General features: G+C 35.7%; 1 protein-coding gene across 2 annotated transcripts in view; it reads left to right on the top strand.

The window, feature by feature from the left end:
- FBN2 (fibrillin 2) overlaps window positions 1-18137 on the top strand; it is a 280337-nt gene that overhangs the window by 219849 nt on the left and 42351 nt on the right. For both annotated transcript variants that reach the window (XM_017009228.3, NM_001999.4), the window contains 13 exons: window positions 126-248; window positions 5602-5763; window positions 6444-6512; window positions 6972-7097; window positions 8289-8414; window positions 8998-9150; window positions 11194-11262; window positions 12449-12574; window positions 12761-12886; window positions 13315-13440; window positions 15308-15424; window positions 16887-17015; window positions 17461-17580. In XM_017009228.3, coding sequence (XP_016864717.1) covers window positions 126-248; window positions 5602-5763; window positions 6444-6512; window positions 6972-7097; window positions 8289-8414; window positions 8998-9150; window positions 11194-11262; window positions 12449-12574; window positions 12761-12886; window positions 13315-13440; window positions 15308-15424; window positions 16887-17015; window positions 17461-17580 — 1572 coding nt within the window. The remainder of the gene's footprint in view (window positions 1-125; window positions 249-5601; window positions 5764-6443; window positions 6513-6971; window positions 7098-8288; window positions 8415-8997; window positions 9151-11193; window positions 11263-12448; window positions 12575-12760; window positions 12887-13314; window positions 13441-15307; window positions 15425-16886; window positions 17016-17460; window positions 17581-18137) is intronic.

Below are 18137 nucleotides of genomic sequence, written 5' to 3'. Positions count from 1 at the left end.
TGTTGAGTCTTTCCTAGTGATCTTTAATCTACTCACTTGCAAAAATTCCACCAAATTCTTTGGAACAGCAGTATGCACAGAAAAAGTAAAAATGGTAACCTGGGCATTTTAAATGCTTCTCCTAGATATTGATGAGTGTGCAGATCCTATAAACTGTGTCAATGGCCTATGTGTCAACACGCCTGGTCGCTATGAGTGTAACTGCCCACCCGATTTTCAGTTGAACCCAACTGGTGTGGGTTGTGTTGGTAAGTAAAGCTATATGAAACAAACAAATAGAATTATCAAGTTGAATATTCAGACTCTCTTGATAATGAACCGTGATGAGTGTTTGCTACAGTTAACTTAAAAACAAAACATTATGTGGTCGCCTTTATTGTGTTTCTCTTCCAAATCATCTGCTCCACCTTCCTCCTCTCACGGACTTGAGAACCAAGGCACAGAGAAGTGCAGTAATTTGTTCAAGGTCTCAGAGCTTGAAAGTGGCAGAGCTAAGGCAGTGGCCCAGGTTGCCACCTGGCTCCTTGTCCAGTGTTTGGCCAGGATAACCCAGAGTGGTGGTATAGCTGTTAGAATATCTATTTCTCCTGCCTACTGGAAGGGTCATATAGCAAAGTAAATGAAGTGATGAGAAGCAAGGAATTAGAGAGATGGATTTATGAGCCAAACCATTGGAGCAGAAGAAGTTGGAAGGTGACAGGGAGGAGGAGGAGGCCGTAATGAAGGTTCAGAATCTGTGGTCAGCACCTCTGATCTTAAAAAAACAATTGTCCAGCTTTTACTATCTGCACTGTTACTGTATTTTCCTAGAGAAGGAAATGGCCTGGAGAATTTTCTGGAAGTATACAAAAAAAGGGAGGGGTGGAGAATTCCTTGCTTGAGTAGAAATCTGCCTACTGTCCTCAGTGTCAGTTTTTGGGCCTGCAGCAAATGGAAGGAATATTTGCTGCTGTGATTTATACACAACTTATATACTGTTTTCAAGTTTTGGAGAATACTTTTAATTATCATTTACACAAACTCCAAGTCTGTGTTTTCCATTCAAAATAATTCATTTGGTAAAGTTTGAGTGCCTTCTGTCTAAGGGCTGGAGTTGCAACAGTGAACAGAACAAGCACATTCTCTGCTTTTGTGTTTACATTCTAGAGGCAGGGAGATAAATAAAAGCAAGAACAAACAGAATTGGCACTGGAGGTGGTTGGAGGAGAAGCGCTATGTTATATTAGGGATGGGGGAGTCACAGCCTTTAAGGAGGGGACAGACCAACTGGACCACTGAGGGAAGCCTCCAGTTACAAGGAGAAGCCAGTGCAAGGGGCATGTGGCAGGAGAAGGCTGGCGTTAGAGACACAGCACAAGGCTGCTTGTAGCAAGAGAGGAGTGAGTGGAGGGGACAGGGATGAGGAGAGGAATCAGAGGAGCAGTCGCCCAGTTCGCAAAGTGATTCTCAACCCAGGCTGCATAGTAAACTCCATTTAGAACCTGGAAAAGATATTGATGCCTGTTACACCCTCAGAAATTCTGACTCACTGGGGCCTCAATATTTCTTAAAAACCTCCTTGGAACAAAGGCTGTGAACAGGCAGCTCATAAAAGAGAATAGTCTAAACATTAAAAAATGTAAGCAAACAAATGCCCAAAATCATTAGGAATAAGAAATCCATTTGAAACAATTATATGAATGCCACTTTACACTTCATATACTGGCAAAAATTAGGAAACCTGGATAATGTGAAGTATTGGTGGGGACATGAGCCTTGAGGAGCATTCTGTTCTGCTGGTAGAAGTGTAGACCAGGGCAGCACTGCAGATAATATGTTTGCACAATGGTACACCGATTAACTGTCAGTGTATAATCAATTTTAGTTTATGAGTTTCTTTTTGAAGCAATTCGATTTGTATGGATTGACACTTTATTGCGTTCACTCATTCTTAGTGCCAAAAAAACAAGGACTTATTCTATCTCAAAAGTGCCATAGGAATCTATTGGAACCTTTCGTAGGTCTGAAACATTATAAAATATTAAGAGATCTTGTTTTTCCTTTGTCTTGAAACATTTTGACGTTTTATCATCCTAGCTGTTATTTTTGTCAATGTTCAACATTATGTCCAATGGATACAACAGAGTAAAATAACGAGAAGTGGAAAATTATGGCATCACCTAGAAGTAACATGCATTAGTGAAATAAAATGTCACTGTTTTATCATCCTTCAGTTTTCTTATTATATTGTCCTAAGGATTGCATCATTTTTCAAGAAAGTGCAAGAGAAGACTGGAGACACCTTACTTGAAATCTTCTTTTAGCATTTATTGAACACAGTTGAGAATTTAGAAGTTTTTACTTACTGGCCATAATTTTTGGCAAAGAGAAAAAAATGAAGTTGAGTCAGGTAACTACAAAGAGACAGAGAGCAGCTCTTTTGTCTAGATTCTAAAGGTGATGGTGAAGTGAATCATCTAAGCACAATCCCAGACTACGTGTCTTCAGAGACCAATATCCTAGGTGAATGTTTTCAAACTTCAGAATCAGCAAGTGAAAGGACAGTGTATTTCCGTAGACAAAGGAAATACAGTATTCTCATCCACTTAGTCAATAGAAAGAACTTCAACCCGCAATATTTGGTAACAAGAACCTGAACCATCCCAGGTTTGTGGATTCTTTCATATTTTCATGACGTTTCTGTACCAAAATTTAATTGATATGATTCATAAGCAGACAGAGATAAAGGCAGGTATGTATAAAAGGTTACTGGAAGGAAATATGTGATGTAGAAATACAGTCATTAGATTGATTGTTCTAATTGGTGTTGATAAATCTAAAAATGAAAACATTTTCTATTTGTGGAGACTTTAAAGAAGACGGCTGTCCTCTCATCAACAAAATCATGAACTGTTAATGTTTTCAAACATTCCTTTGGGTATTGCATTTTTATGAAGCAAGAACAAGAAGAACCAGAAATAATGATAAGCTAGAACCTATTAGAGATGTGTTTGAAACCTGGAATCGGTTTTTACAAACTGGATATATTCCAAGTTCATGAATGACAGTTGATAAGCAATTAGTTGCATTCAGAAGATCATTTTGAGTAGAATATCTTCAAAACCAAGAAAATATAGATTAAAAAATTGAGTTAGCTATCATTAAATTGTTATTAATATTGCTAATAAAGTTGTTTTCAACTTTTTTCTTCTGTATATTAGTTTTATAATATACCTTTCTTCTGTAAATTATTTTTTAAAATGACTTAAAAATATTAAAAATTAAAGGGTTCCTTGGATGTAGTTGGTAAATGATGACTATTTTTCCTGACTGAAGGCTAAGTATAGGCAAATCCTGTGAATCAACAATTCCTTTTGTGGCTGTATATGCCAATGGAATTAACTCACAGGCCCATACAGAGACACATATATGATGTTCATCACGGCATTCTTTGTGGTGGCAGGATTTTAGAAACCATTTTTGGAGAGGAGGGTTTTTTTTTAAAAGCAATTATACACCACGGAGTTGACAGACTGGAGGTTTACAGAACAAGCATGACTAGAAAAGTTATAAAAATGAAATGAGATGTATGACAAAAGACATTTGTGTACATTTAAAATGAACACATTAAAACAAAAATATTTATTTTGCAAGAGCACATGTAAAAAGTAATAGCATTAAATACATTTGGATGATCTGGTAGGGAAGGAGAATAGGAATGAAGAATAGGAATAAAAGAGAAAGGGAGGGGGAAGAGAGAGAAAGAACAGGTGAATAAATGAGGAATAAATAAACCTAATTAGGCTGGGCGTGGTGGCTCACGCCTGTTACTCCAGCACTTTGGGAGGCTGAGGTGGGTGGATCACAAGGTCAAAAGATCAAGACCATCCTGGCCAACATGGTGAAACCCCGTCTCTACTAAAAATACAAAAATTAACTGCGCGTGGTGGCAGGCACCTGTAGTCCCAGCTACTCGGGAGGCTGAGGCAGGAGAATCACTTGAGGCAGAGGTTGCAGTGGGCCGAGATAGTGCCACTGTACTCCAGCTTGGCAACAGAGGAAGACTCCGTCCCCAAAAAATAAATAAACAAATAAATATAAATAAACCTAATTAGAAGGGGGACCATGAGAATCTTGCAGCCTCTGAGATCTGAGATTCAGCAACAAAAACAAAATGCAAAATCTGAGACAAAAATAAAGTAAAATAAGTTTTTTTAAAAAGCCCAAATGATTCTAATATGCAGCCAGGGATGAAAATTACTTTGTAGACTGCTAAGAACTCTAGATTTTATTCTGATTGAGAAGAGAAGCCATTGGAGGTTGCCTGACCTAAGGTAATGCTATTGAAGGGTCACTCTGGCTTACAGAAGGTAAAGTAGACCATAGTTTAGTCAAGGATGGAAGTTGAGAAAAGAGTTAGAAAACTATTACATTAGACTAGGTAAAGGGATAATGATGGTGGCTGGAACTCAGTTGGTAGTGATTAAAAAAAAAAGATAGTAATGATAGAGGCAGTGGTAAGTAGACAGATTCCAGATATGTTTTTTTTTTTTTTTTTTTTTTTTGAGACAGAGTCTCGCTCTGTTGCCCAGGCTGGAGTGCAGTGGCGTGATCTCGGCTCACTGCAAGCCCTGCCTCCCAGGTTCATGCCATTCTCCTGCCTCAGCCACCCTAGTAGCTGGGACTACAGGTGCCCGCCACCATGCTCAGCTAATTTTCTGTATTTTTAGTAGAGACGGGTTTTCACCATGTTAGCCAGGATGGTCGATTCCAGATATGTTTTGAAGGTTGAGTAGACAGCCCTTATTACTGGATTGAATAAGGAATCATAGTAAGGAGTCAAAAATGATGTCAAAGCTTAGGGCCTGTGCAACTGAAAAAAAAAGTGAATTTCCTTTTATTGAAAATGCAGAAGACTGGGAGAGAAGACGGCAGATTTTGTACATGGAGGAAAGAGCATTGACAGTTTGATTTTAGATGTGTTAACTTTGAAATAATTATTAGATGTTTAAGAGAAGAAATGAAATAGGCAATTGGTAGAAGGGTCTAGAGTTCACGGGAGAGATGAGATACAGAACCATAAATTTGAGAGTTCTCAGCAAAAAAGTAGTATTTAAACCCATAGACTCAATGGAGTGATCTGGATGATAACTGTAGAGATAAAGAAAAGCCTTAGATTAGTTGATCCCTTAAGTATCTTCTCTAAGTTTGTTGCAGGCTATCTTTTCCAAAACCTGCAAAGTTAGCTATGCAAGTTGAAACTAAACCATTGGATAAACTCGTGATATAGATTAATTATACAAAAAATGTATTGTATTCCTATTATTGGAGGTCCAGTATGTCCCAAATGAGAAATTTCTTACTATCTTGTCCATTCCATGAGTATAGGAAAATATGGTCTATGTGGATTTCTAAATATAGGAAAGTCTGCCATGATTGGCTTCCTCTGACTCAATCTCGAAAAAGCTGAAAAGCAGGAGATTGCTTGGTACTTAAGGATTAAAAGGAACCTTTCATGTTAACGTACAAAATTTGAATTTCATCCTTTGAGTGACTTTTCCCTAAAATGGAGTCCTTACTATGTAAGCAAGGGCAACTGTAAGCTCCTTTGTTGCTCTGCAGACAACCGTGTGGGCAACTGCTACCTGAAGTTTGGACCTCGAGGAGATGGGAGTCTGTCTTGCAACACCGAGATCGGGGTGGGCGTCAGTCGCTCTTCATGCTGCTGCTCTCTGGGAAAGGCCTGGGGAAACCCCTGTGAGACATGCCCCCCTGTCAATAGCAGTAAGTACAAAGCTGAAGAAGAGGAAGAAAACCAACTGGTATCTAAAGATTTGTTGCCATTTTATTCCTGAGCTGGGAGTGAGGAGTGTTTAGTGAGGACAAAACAAAAAAACTGAATTTGAACTACTTTCAGTGATCACTCTGAAACCAGCCAAGAATGTTAAAGGATTTGAATTCCTCTCTTCCTATGTTTTATCATGATATGTTAAAAAAATAATTTTTAACTGTAATCATGTATGAATAGTACTAATATCAGTTCTTCATGATGTCACAGATAAAGTGCATTCCTGATTCTTCTCAAAGGTTATTTAGTTCAGCTTCATAGGTGTGTTGTATTCTTGAAGTCAATTATAGAATGCCTTAAATTGAAACATCTGATATGAACATGAACCAAAGCCTGTTTTCTCTAGTCTTAATTTACTAGCTAAAAGAGCTGCAAGGGAATTTTTTCTTTAATTAAAAACAAATGGTTCGTGTTATTCTACTGTGTATGTGATTAATAAAGTATGATCTTTTATGTAAAATATGTAACTTTAAATGTATTTGAAAGGGCACTAAGAAAAATTTGGATACACCCCTTAGGATGAGTATATTGAGCCTGTCATTTGCTGAATGCTTGCTCATTGTCTCAGCCACTTGGACACAGGTATCAAACCTCTTATTTTTCTATTGTTTTGTAGCTGAATATTACACCCTGTGTCCCGGAGGTGAAGGCTTCAGACCTAACCCCATCACAATCATTTTAGAAGGTGAGCTAATCCCATTGTCACCCAGATTCAAACAAGGTAAAGAGTTAATTATAGAGAAAAGCTGGCAGAAAACCTAGGGCAGAGCAGCCCCGACAAGATAATTTAGTAAAATTACAGATGGACTTTAATTACTAAAATGTTAAACTACTACTTTTATCAAGCAGTAATGATCCATTGCAGTGATTTGACGTCTGACTGTTCTGCAGAGAAACTCTTTCCCATTGTCCTCTACCTTGAATAATCTCCAACTTAACTTTATTCATTTTCTCAGATAATGGTAAAAGTTCTGTGACAAAGCCAAGAAGATATTTGAGCAGAATAAACTTGCCATCTAAGTGTGCGTTCATTTGGATGCATAGAAATCTGATTCTTACAAGATCACACTTTTGAAAGCTCTAATATTAACTCTTATCCTTAGTGAAGGTGTTTGTTTTAAGTGCACTGTCTCCCTTTTTGTAGACATTGACGAATGCCAGGAGTTACCAGGTCTCTGCCAGGGTGGAAACTGCATCAACACTTTTGGGAGCTTCCAGTGTGAGTGCCCACAAGGCTACTACCTCAGCGAGGATACCCGCATCTGTGAAGGTGAGATGAATTTGATGCCTAAAATGCTCAGTGCTGTTTAAAACAAAATGGCTGCTGAGGCCTGAGGGAAAGGCCCATCCTCACATTCTACAAAAGGCTCAATTAAGATTGGTTCATAGCTTTTTTTTTTTTCATATCAATGTAGCTAAGTTGTATGATGATAGACAAATTAATTTATGGCTCGTTGCCATAATTCACTGTATTTTTCCAGGAGGGTTGATTAAATATAAATTGGGAAAATGGGGTAGTGTGAAAACCTAAAATATTAAGTAAGTTATTAGTGAAAATATTGATAAGAATTACATTTTACATAGGAAAAATTGGTAAGCTAAAATGTGACCATTAACTTAATATTGATCAGTAATTTTTAAATGTTGGACTATATGGTATGAAGAAGTTCAAAGGTTATGCAGCTGCCATTCTTGCTTCCATCCCCCCACTTGATCACATGGTATTTCAATTCTTTTAGGGGCCTGTCTCACCACTAAACTGGGGGCTTCTGGAGACAAGGTCCACATCTTACTCATCATTACAGCCATAAGTTCTAGCTTACAGTAGAATCTCAATATTTTAATTGTGAAATGAGTGAATGCTTCTAACTGAACATTAAACATGTAGCGTAATTATTTCCATTATAACTTTTCTTTTGGAACATGTTTGATAAATGTATCTGGAAGAAATAGGATGTAATGAGGAGAACAACCAGCAGCTGCACTGCTTTAAGAATCTCTGAATAGTTACTAATTTGAAAGAAGCTACAAAGACAAAGGCTTTCCCAACCTGCATTCACTTTAAAGTTGGCATTAAAACTTAGCCTAAGTGACATAGGACAAAAGCAGGCTTTAAAGAAATTCCAATTGAAGAATGCGAATTGCAATAAAAAAAAAAAAAAAAAAATATATATATATATATATATATATATATATATATATATGTGCCAAGGAAATTATTTTTTGCCACTTTAGAATAATTTCTTTTGATGCTTTATATTTTTTAATATGGGGATTTTTTTCTTTTGAAGAAAGATGTATCTGTGTTATATAAATGCATATTTGGGATATTTTCTTTATTTCTAAGTTTTGCATAAATGGGGATTTAGAGAATCACCTATGCTTTGTTCAGTCATCTAAGTAATATAAATTCATTGAAAAAATAGATTTATTAATTAATAGATATTCTTGCCTACTCTAGATATTGATGAGTGTTTTGCACATCCTGGTGTGTGTGGGCCTGGGACCTGCTATAACACCCTGGGAAATTACACCTGCATTTGCCCACCTGAGTACATGCAGGTCAATGGAGGCCACAACTGCATGGGTAGGTAAAGAACTCTGAGATTAATTAGAGCACAGTTGTTGACTTCACACATAAAGCACTTACGTCTCAGAATTATTGTTTGGAAGTTTGGAAGTTCAGTCTTCGTGAATTGAGATATTTCAGAGTCTTGCAAGCTGCTGGCTTAGTATCAAGTTTTTGACCTTTGGGTATACATTTAAATTTTTAAAAGCATGAGTCTAATGTAGAAAATTTCCTCAAATGTTATATATTCTTAAATTTTTCATCTCCATTCATATAGTGTGAACATTAATTTACAAATAAAAGAACATTTAAATTTTAATGCTTTATTTTTTTAATTAAATAAATGATTTTGAGAGAAAAACAAATATGTATTAACATTGTCTCCCAAGAAAATTATAAGTGAAAACCTTTAAGGATAAAGGAGAGATGTTAATCTAAAAATGATTTATGTTTAAGGAGTTATTTTAAGATAGCTTCAAATGACTAAAAAGGGTTTCCGAGTTGTGTTCATCAGGAAAGCTTGATGTCTACAGCTGTGTGGGCTTCATTATAAACTACTCGTGGATACAAATGGCTAGTTTCTTTGTTTTTCTTTATATAGACATGAGAAAAAGCTTTTGCTACCGAAGCTATAATGGAACCACTTGTGAGAATGAGTTGCCTTTCAATGTGACAAAAAGGATGTGCTGCTGCACATATAATGTGGGCAAAGCCTGGAACAAACCTTGTGAACCATGCCCAACTCCAGGAACAGGTAAGCACACGGCTCGTGCATCTGCTGACTGCCACATCAGTGATACACGCATATATCTAACAGTATAGTCAAAGTCACTGCATGCTAAAACTAGAGATGCTCAGTTCCAAAAATTCCCAAGAGCATCATATGGTTCTGTTTCCCAAGTGATCCTCTTTGGGATTCAAACACTAACTTCTGAGACATTATGTTGGATAGGCTTGTGAATCCTGAAAATAAGATCCATTGCTGAAGAGTTAGAGTTGATAGCATTAGTCCATTTAAACTCATTATCTTAAACTGTGCTTGTCAATTATTGATTTATTCATCAAACAAATATTTCTTGAGTAACTACTGTATGTCACTGTGCTAGACATGGAAAGTATAATATTTGGAGAAAAACTAAATTCAATAAGGATTTTTTTTTAGTTCAGCCGTGGAAAATATGCAAAAAGTGTTTTTTATGAGCGAATTTTACATAAAAGCAACCCATTGTCATAATGTGCCTTTTACATCTTCTTCCTCAGACATCAGTGAAATTTTTAGGCAAAAAATAGAGCTTGTCTTCACTTGGTCATGTTTTTTTCACAAGACAGTTTCTTTTGAAAGAAAAAATGAAAGATAATAGAGATAAGAGCAAAAATGCTTGTCTTAAAATTGCTGTCCATCAGGCTCTCTTTTATGACCTGGAGAATGGCAACTTTTAATAACTATAGATACTAAGAGTTGAACCAGTAGGCCAAATAAGAAACAGTGATTATGCATTTGTTACCAAATATTACTTAGGGTATATGTATTTAAATGTTCCATTTAATGTATTGATGAAATTAAGGAGAGAAATGATGAAAAGCAACACATAGGCCTTTTTCAGTGGCTCCAATTCACTGGTCAAATGGATTTTCTTAGCCTTATCTTGCCATTATTATGTTCCATAAAATTAAATAGAAACATTCCTACAATTCTCAACTTTAAAACTCCATAGTTACAAATTTAAGATCATTGATTTGGGGAATTAAAATGGCACTTTCTTTGTGAGAAGAAGCGAAAGGCTTGGAGTTGAGAGACGTGTCTGTATTTAAATCAAAACTCTTAAGATACTTATTGTGGAACCTCCTGCAGAGTATGTATCCTTTCTGAAACTAATTTCTCATGTATAAAATAGGAATAATAAATAATTACAGTGACTAATTCATATGGGTGCAATGACAATTAGGGAGATTATACATATAAATTATAATTTGAAGATTTCCAGACAATTAGAAACCATTAAGTTGAGCATCTGTGGTCTTTCTATCTGTTCTCAATACTCGGTATATATTGATGGATGAAATATACAATATCCCTGACCTGATAGCACTTGGAATATAGTATGCAGTTTAAGTTTTATATAATACTGTTTTCAGGAGTTTTACTCACTTGTATAGCAGTGAGCGTCAGAAGCATTTTTCATCTTGCAAATTAGAATTCTTTTAAATTTCCATTGATTTGGTTAATTATGTGTAAGAATACTTCTTATAGTCCCTATTTTATTTCATAATGCATTGTTTTTGATGACTCAAATTTCACATTCCAATAGACACAGTAAAAAAAAAAAAGACAAAATTCGCATCTCATTCATTATACATTGTTTACCTATTTCCCCTCTACAACATTATTTTTGCATGTCTATACCTTTGTGCAATCTGTAATTCCTTTTTCAATTTGTACTTCTCTTTTTTTTTAATCTTTATGTATTGGATGTTTTTTAAAGCTCTGCATATTAAAAGAAAAAGTATTTAAATATCTAAATGGACATTTTGAATCTTATAATGATTTACTTGCCTTCTGATATCAGAGCAGTAAAAAGTTAATGAGAGTAATAGAAATAACAATGATAATAATGGTAAAGAATGCCTAGATCCACTCCTAGCAGAAGCTGGCATTGCTATCAAATAAATATAATTGAAATCAAAATGTCTGGTTGTGAATAATGTAAAATATATTTGTTTGTGAAAGTAATACAAAATGTTATTTTGAAGGAATTTGAGAAATTTAAGAGTGCATTGCTTTGTTTATATTTTAAAGCTGACTTTAAAACCATATGTGGAAATATTCCTGGATTCACCTTTGACATTCACACAGGAAAAGCTGTTGGTGAGTTTTTCCAGATTATGTTTGTTTTAATACATATGTGTAGCATTCTGTAAAAATCTATTCTATGTTTTTAAAATTCAAGAGTACCACAAAATATAATAATCTGGGATCCAATCTAATATAGTTAGATAAGAGAGAAATAACAGGCTTACAGACTCTAACCAAGTATTAATAATGATACTCCATCAGCGTAGTCTGGTGATTGGGTTATGGTAGTTATGTGACTCTCTCGATATTTGTCACATCCACCAAGCTAAAGCTTCAGTTGTCCTTGTCATGCACATTGTATTACATGACTCTAAATAATCTACCTTATTTTAACCTTTAGTTGCTATTTTCTTAAGTACATTTTTTAATTTTTGGTGTATTTTTGCAGTATCCCTTTTTACTGGTCTAAATATGAATGTGCAGACTTATTTTTCATATTAATTAATTCCTTCTAAATGTACATTGTGTTGCTCACTCTAGCTTCCTTCCTCAAAGATTTGATAAGCAATATAATTTTTTTTTTTGAGATGGAGTTTTGCTCTTGTTGCCCAGGCTGGAGTGCAATGGCGCGATCTCAGCTCACTGTAACCTCTGTCTCCTAGGTTCAAGTGATTCTCCTGCCTCAGCCTCCTGAGTAGCTGGGATTACAGGCACCCACCACCACACCCGGCTAATTTTTTGTATTTTTAGTAGAGATGGAAGTTTCACCATGTTGGTCAGGCTGGTCTAGAACTCCTGACCTCAGGTGATCCACCCTCCTCAGCCTCCCAAAGTGCTGGGATTACAGGCGTGAGCCACCACACCTGGCCTAAGCAATATAATTTTAAGTCTCCATTATGAATATATGATAAAATAAAATACATACAATGATGAAAACATAGCTTTTTAAACAAATGAATAGCAGCACTTAGGGTAACCTGAAGAAGGGGTTTGATTGCCTAGAAAGTTCATTTGCTATATTGACTCTGAAATTACTTGGTATATTTTATCAGCTACTTAGATTTTTTCCATCACTGTTTCTATTTTCTGGTATATATGTTTTTATAAACCAAAAAAATTAGCTATACTAGTATATAATAGATTTTTGTGACACTGAATATTTGTACTCATCCCAGGGTACATGTAGCATTATTCAAAGTTATATGGTAAGTATATTAAACAGAACAACATATATTTGACCAAATCTGTTCCATTTCAGACATTGATGAATGTAAAGAGATTCCAGGCATTTGTGCAAATGGTGTGTGCATTAACCAGATTGGCAGTTTCCGCTGTGAATGCCCTACAGGATTCAGTTACAATGACCTGCTGTTGGTTTGTGAAGGTAATCTGAATAAAGTATGTCCTTTATCCAGTATAATTTGGTATACATATATAGCATTTAGATGGTTTCTGATTTTTACTATTTCTTCTACAATTTTTCAAGAGTTGATCATCAAAGTGTGACGTGAATGTAATGCTAATACAATACTAAAAAGGACTCTTTAAAATGGAATTGTTGCTCTTTCAGATATAGATGAGTGCAGCAATGGTGATAATCTCTGCCAGCGGAATGCAGACTGCATCAATAGTCCTGGTAGTTACCGCTGTGAATGTGCCGCGGGTTTCAAACTTTCACCCAATGGGGCCTGTGTAGGTAAGAAAGAGGCTGACTCATTCTTTGGCACTGAGCACAAGATTCCTTAGATTTCCTATCAAAAAATACTTCAAGAATAATTTGGGAAAGATTTTCTCACTTAACCTGTTCATTTATAGTGAACCTATTTCACCATATCTTTTAGATGATTTTGTTAAGAAAATAGATCTCTTCAATGGATTTCCCCAGGATTGGACCTAAAATAAAATAATATCCTTCAGATACCAATAAACATAAAAAAATTTGCATGATTAAAAAAAGAGGGTTGGATACTTTGAAGTCCTGCTCATTTTGATTCAGCTGTTGTTATGGTTCATTTTCAGCCTGCCTATAATAATTAATAGCAGATTAGAGAAACACAACTGTGAAAAATGAAGAAATCTTAATAAAAATCAGATACATGTAACATTTATTTTTTTCTGTTTTAGATCGCAATGAATGTTTAGAAATTCCTAACGTTTGCAGTCATGGCTTGTGTGTTGATCTGCAAGGAAGTTACCAGTGCATCTGCCACAATGGCTTTAAGGCTTCTCAGGACCAGACCATGTGCATGGGTAAGAAGGGCATGTGGCTCCAGGGAGTGAAGTGGGGCTGGGGTTCCAGAACAGATCACAGTTCCATCAAGTGCCATGAGTAACTACTATGTCTCTGTCAGAAACAATCTTGCAAAAAATTAACTAGGTCAAACTATTTAAGTCTTGATTCAATATAAAATTTGCAAGCAGGGACATACTGCAATATATAAAATTTGCAAGCAGGGACATACTGCGATATGTTCGTCAGTTCAGTGATTCACAGCTTTTTCTCCAGAAGATGTTCACATGGCTTGACAAGAAAAAACCCTCTGAGCCACTTGGGCTTGTGTGGAACTTACCATAGCACCCGCTGCCCTTTACTTTCATGTTTCTACTCAAGACACCATTTTGGAATGCAAGAGAGTAGTAAGAGTGACAGCATTAAACTTAATAAATTTATACACATATGCACATACTTTTTTAAAACAAATTGTTGAATAGTGGGATTTATGTACATATTTTGTGTTTTATCCCTTAAAAATAGCTTTAGGAGCAAATATAGCCAAACTCTTTAAAAATTCCCAGTAGCTAATGTAATGGGTAGCCAAGTGGTAATAGAGCTTAGTGAGTACTTGCTGAGCTGATGATTAATAGGTTTTCAAAGACAGATGGGCTGGATGCCATGAAGCTGGGACTGAGTATAACCCCTTAAGTCTGATGTCAGCAGTTGGCTCTGCCTCTGCTGAAGAGTTTTCTTTCTGTGCTTTGCACTTGAAAGGGGAAAATTAAATTTAAAACTTGGCTACTTGTAATTAGCATTTTCTCAGTGTAGAAAAGGCTAGGGCTGTTCAGCTACTCTTGATATTCAAGATATTATCTATGTGAATATTAAAATCAGATTTCAGTACTGCAGGACTGGTTTCCTTCATGACACATCCATACAACAGGGAATACCTGGAGTATGTCTCCAGGTTCATCCATTGCCTCCTAAAGCCCTCCCTTTGGACTTCTCCTATAATGGCAGGGAAAATTCTCTAGGTGATGTTTATACAAAGGAATATACAGGATCTGGTCTTATTTGCATGAACTCCCTAAGAATGCTTGTTTATACATGCTTCTTCTTGCTGTACTCCCAGAGAGAGTATGATTTACCAAAAAAAAATATGAGATTTATGATTCAGAATTTCGTATGGGGAAAATCTGTCCACTCATAACAATTCTTCCATGATAAAAGCTAGTCAGATTCTTCAGTAAGACCTCCCTTATACAGAGCTTCCTTCCTAAAGAACAATACCAGCCCCCACCCTTTTTTTGGTGTGGTAGAGTTTCAGCAGCCTGGAATTCATAGTTGGGGAGTCTGCTGTCTCATATGATGAATGACCTTTCTAAATATTTTCTTAATTCAGTTTTTTTGAAGGCTAATAGTGAATTCTAATAAACCTCAATTTGGATTTCATTACTTCATACAATTAAGTAAACTAAAGTTTGTCTTTGTTTTTCTGCTCAAATTAAGGGATTTAAATTTCTGGGTAAGTGTTTATAATGCCTTTTATTATGAAAGAAATTGTTTCAGTATTTTAGAAGATCAGTTTTATTTACGATTATTAAGCAGACCTGCTCATTAATACATCTCTACTAGGGGGATGCTCTCTTAGGCTATGTCTGAGTATTGTCTGAGTACAGTCAGTACCTGTTAAACTGTACTATTTTCTTAGAATTTTACAATTTTGATTCTTGTAATTTTGATTTTTCCGTATCTCTTACTCATTTTCCTCAAGTAGATATGAGTTTCTAGTACTGAATGAGGAAAATCTAAGTAATTCCATAAGTTAAACATATAAAACGGTTAATAGCCCATTTTTTTCTAGTTAAAAATTGAATTTTTTGAGCCTATATTTCTTTATAGATGTTGATGAGTGCGAGCGGCATCCATGTGGAAATGGAACTTGTAAAAACACCGTTGGATCCTATAACTGTCTGTGCTACCCAGGGTTTGAACTCACTCATAATAATGATTGCCTGGGTAAGTACTTCATTCAGTCCTTTATTGCTTCTATTTCATTTCCACACAATGTGCTGAAATAAAAAACAAAACTAAAGAACAAAAAAAAATTATATTACTAAAATTGCAAATATGTGCCAAAAGATATATAATTTCATTGACTGGTTTCTAGTTAACTGAAACCATAGTATTGGCCTAAATTGTCACAAGACAATATACTCTTGAATCCTTTTGTCAATCAGCCAATCATTTCAGGAAAAAAAGGTCATTCAGATCACAGTAAACATATTTGGACTGATTTATGGTTTAGGGTATTTGTATTTCCTTAATGAGATCAAAAATAGACCCTTCATTGTCTCAATGTTATTACAAGTATTTCATTTAAATCCATTCTGGATTATTTACATTCAAGTACCAGTAGCCTCCTGCTTACACCTGTCATGACATTTCATTTTCCATCAGCTTTTGAAGCCAGAATGCCTTTCCCCACAAAAATAATGAATGGTGACTAGGTTTCTAGATAAGCCCTCAGAAATATCTCCTATGCGCCATACAGGACTTTAGTCTTTGGCCCACAGCAACACACAAATGTGAAATGGAAACATAGTGAGTGGGAGAGGGTCCTGAAGTAGTTGGAGGAGAGAATAAGAGAAATGACAGCAAACGTTTATTCCTTGTTTACTGCATGCCAGGAACTGCATGGGTAATTTACAGCATAATGTGTTGTAATTCGCATGGCCCTGCAAGGTATGTGAAAGAACTTAGGTTTTCTACCATTGTGGGACTACATCAGAGCTCATCCCCACGTCCTCATTTAACCCAACATAAGTTCCTCTCTGTTTTCTTTATTTTTCAAAATTCCACAATTGTGAAAAAAAGTAGAGCTAATTGGACATTTTATTCAACTGCTGCCTTCTTGACTAGTTTCTTAGAGCCTTTGTACAGTCAGGGAGAACTAAAACTTAAATGAAAACTTAATACTTAATGTCTTTTTTCTTTCAATTATGTTTGATATCAGCAATTCCAGTGTTTTTAATATCATTGATTTTCCAGTAATAAATAAGCTCATTTATTTGTTCTCTGAATATGCTCAGCTTAGCTCCAGGTAAAGTATATGCAAATTAGGCAATCAGATTAAATCCCACATATCCTCCTGCCTGTGGGAAAATAAATATTTTTCAGTTAGAAAGAATGGAAAGCTTCACCGTAAACCTTGATTTTTATCTGGTTCTAAATTCATGAGTTATATTAATATCAAAAATGAAAAAAATGTATCTTTATGGTTGAAAAATAGTAGGACTCTATGGGATCCTATTAATTATATGATCCTTATGATATGTGCCATTTTTCTCTGTTGATGAGGAGTTGTAATATGGGATTTCTTATAAATGCATGCCAATAAGTATGTTTTTAAGTAGCGTCTTGTGAAACAATATACATGTTAAGAGCTCTTTCTGAAAAACATACTCCTGTTTGCTTACAGACATAGATGAGTGCAGTTCCTTTTTTGGTCAGGTGTGCAGAAATGGACGTTGTTTTAATGAAATTGGTTCTTTCAAGTGTCTATGTAACGAAGGTTATGAACTTACCCCAGATGGCAAAAACTGTATAGGTAAGTATTTAAATAATAAGCAGTCTTTGTGGTGTTATGTTTTGTAAAATGATGATATGTGCCTCCCTCCTTTCACTTAAGAACTCATTAATATTTCATTTAATCATCAGAGCACATGACCAAGATAAGCTATGATGGAAAATTTTAGTATAAGGTATCAACAATGGGAATGTCTCATAGGCAGTGTTTTTACTGGGGACAGAGCTTGAGGCTGTCCATGTCTTAAGAAAAGTAAGCAAAGACAACAAATAAAGAAAATTAGCCACTTGCCAAATAAGAAATATCCAAGATGTCAGAAGAGTATCTTTGGTAATATTTGTTCATGGTGACCCAGTAGATCAGAGGACCCGAGTTGAATTCATGTTAATATCATTTGGCAGACAGATAAATCTATGTAACAATTATCTCATGCTTAAATTATTTTTTCTCTTCTTTTTCTCTAAAGACACTAATGAGTGTGTCGCCCTTCCCGGCTCTTGCTCTCCTGGTACCTGTCAGAATTTGGAGGGATCCTTCAGATGCATCTGTCCCCCAGGGTATGAAGTAAAAAGCGAGAACTGCATTGGTAAGAGTAACATTTATTCTGAGGCCCACTAGTAGTTCAGTATAGTAAGACATGGTAAAGACTCTGGAAACATACTAAGTGCCAACCACTGCAAGCATGCTGACCTAAGGAATTAAACATATAGCTGCCTACATCTGTTTTACTGAACCATCAGAAATGATGGTGAGAATAAAAAACTTAGGGATGTAGGATTTTTTCATTACCAGAAATCTAATGCTAGTCAAAGAATTTTCAGCATATGCTAATTAATCTTTTTTCCAAATGTCAGCAGCGACTTTCAGTGAATTTAAAGAGTGTCTACAAAAATTGTAATCTTTGGCACCCAGTTTTAAAACAGCTATTAAAGGTGTCTAGGGTCTTAGAAATGTGAAGCAGAAAAATCTCGACAATGCTGTTGAGACATTCTTTTTCTTGGGAAGGCCTCATGTCAAAGCAGCAAATATTAATCCATTTGTCATAACAGATGTTTTTCTGTTGAAACCCTTCCAGCACACACGAACACTGTAACCACATCAAAAGTGTGTCCCAGAATTGCCTAGTGGACATGATGAAGTCCG

The sequence above is a fragment of the Homo sapiens genome, chromosome 5 (assembly GCF_000001405.40).
Source record: "Homo sapiens chromosome 5, GRCh38.p14 Primary Assembly".
Classification (NCBI taxonomy): Eukaryota; Metazoa; Chordata; class Mammalia; order Primates; family Hominidae; genus Homo; species Homo sapiens.
The sequence above is the reverse complement of the archived record's forward strand: the minus strand, read 5'-3'. Positions and strand labels throughout refer to the sequence as shown.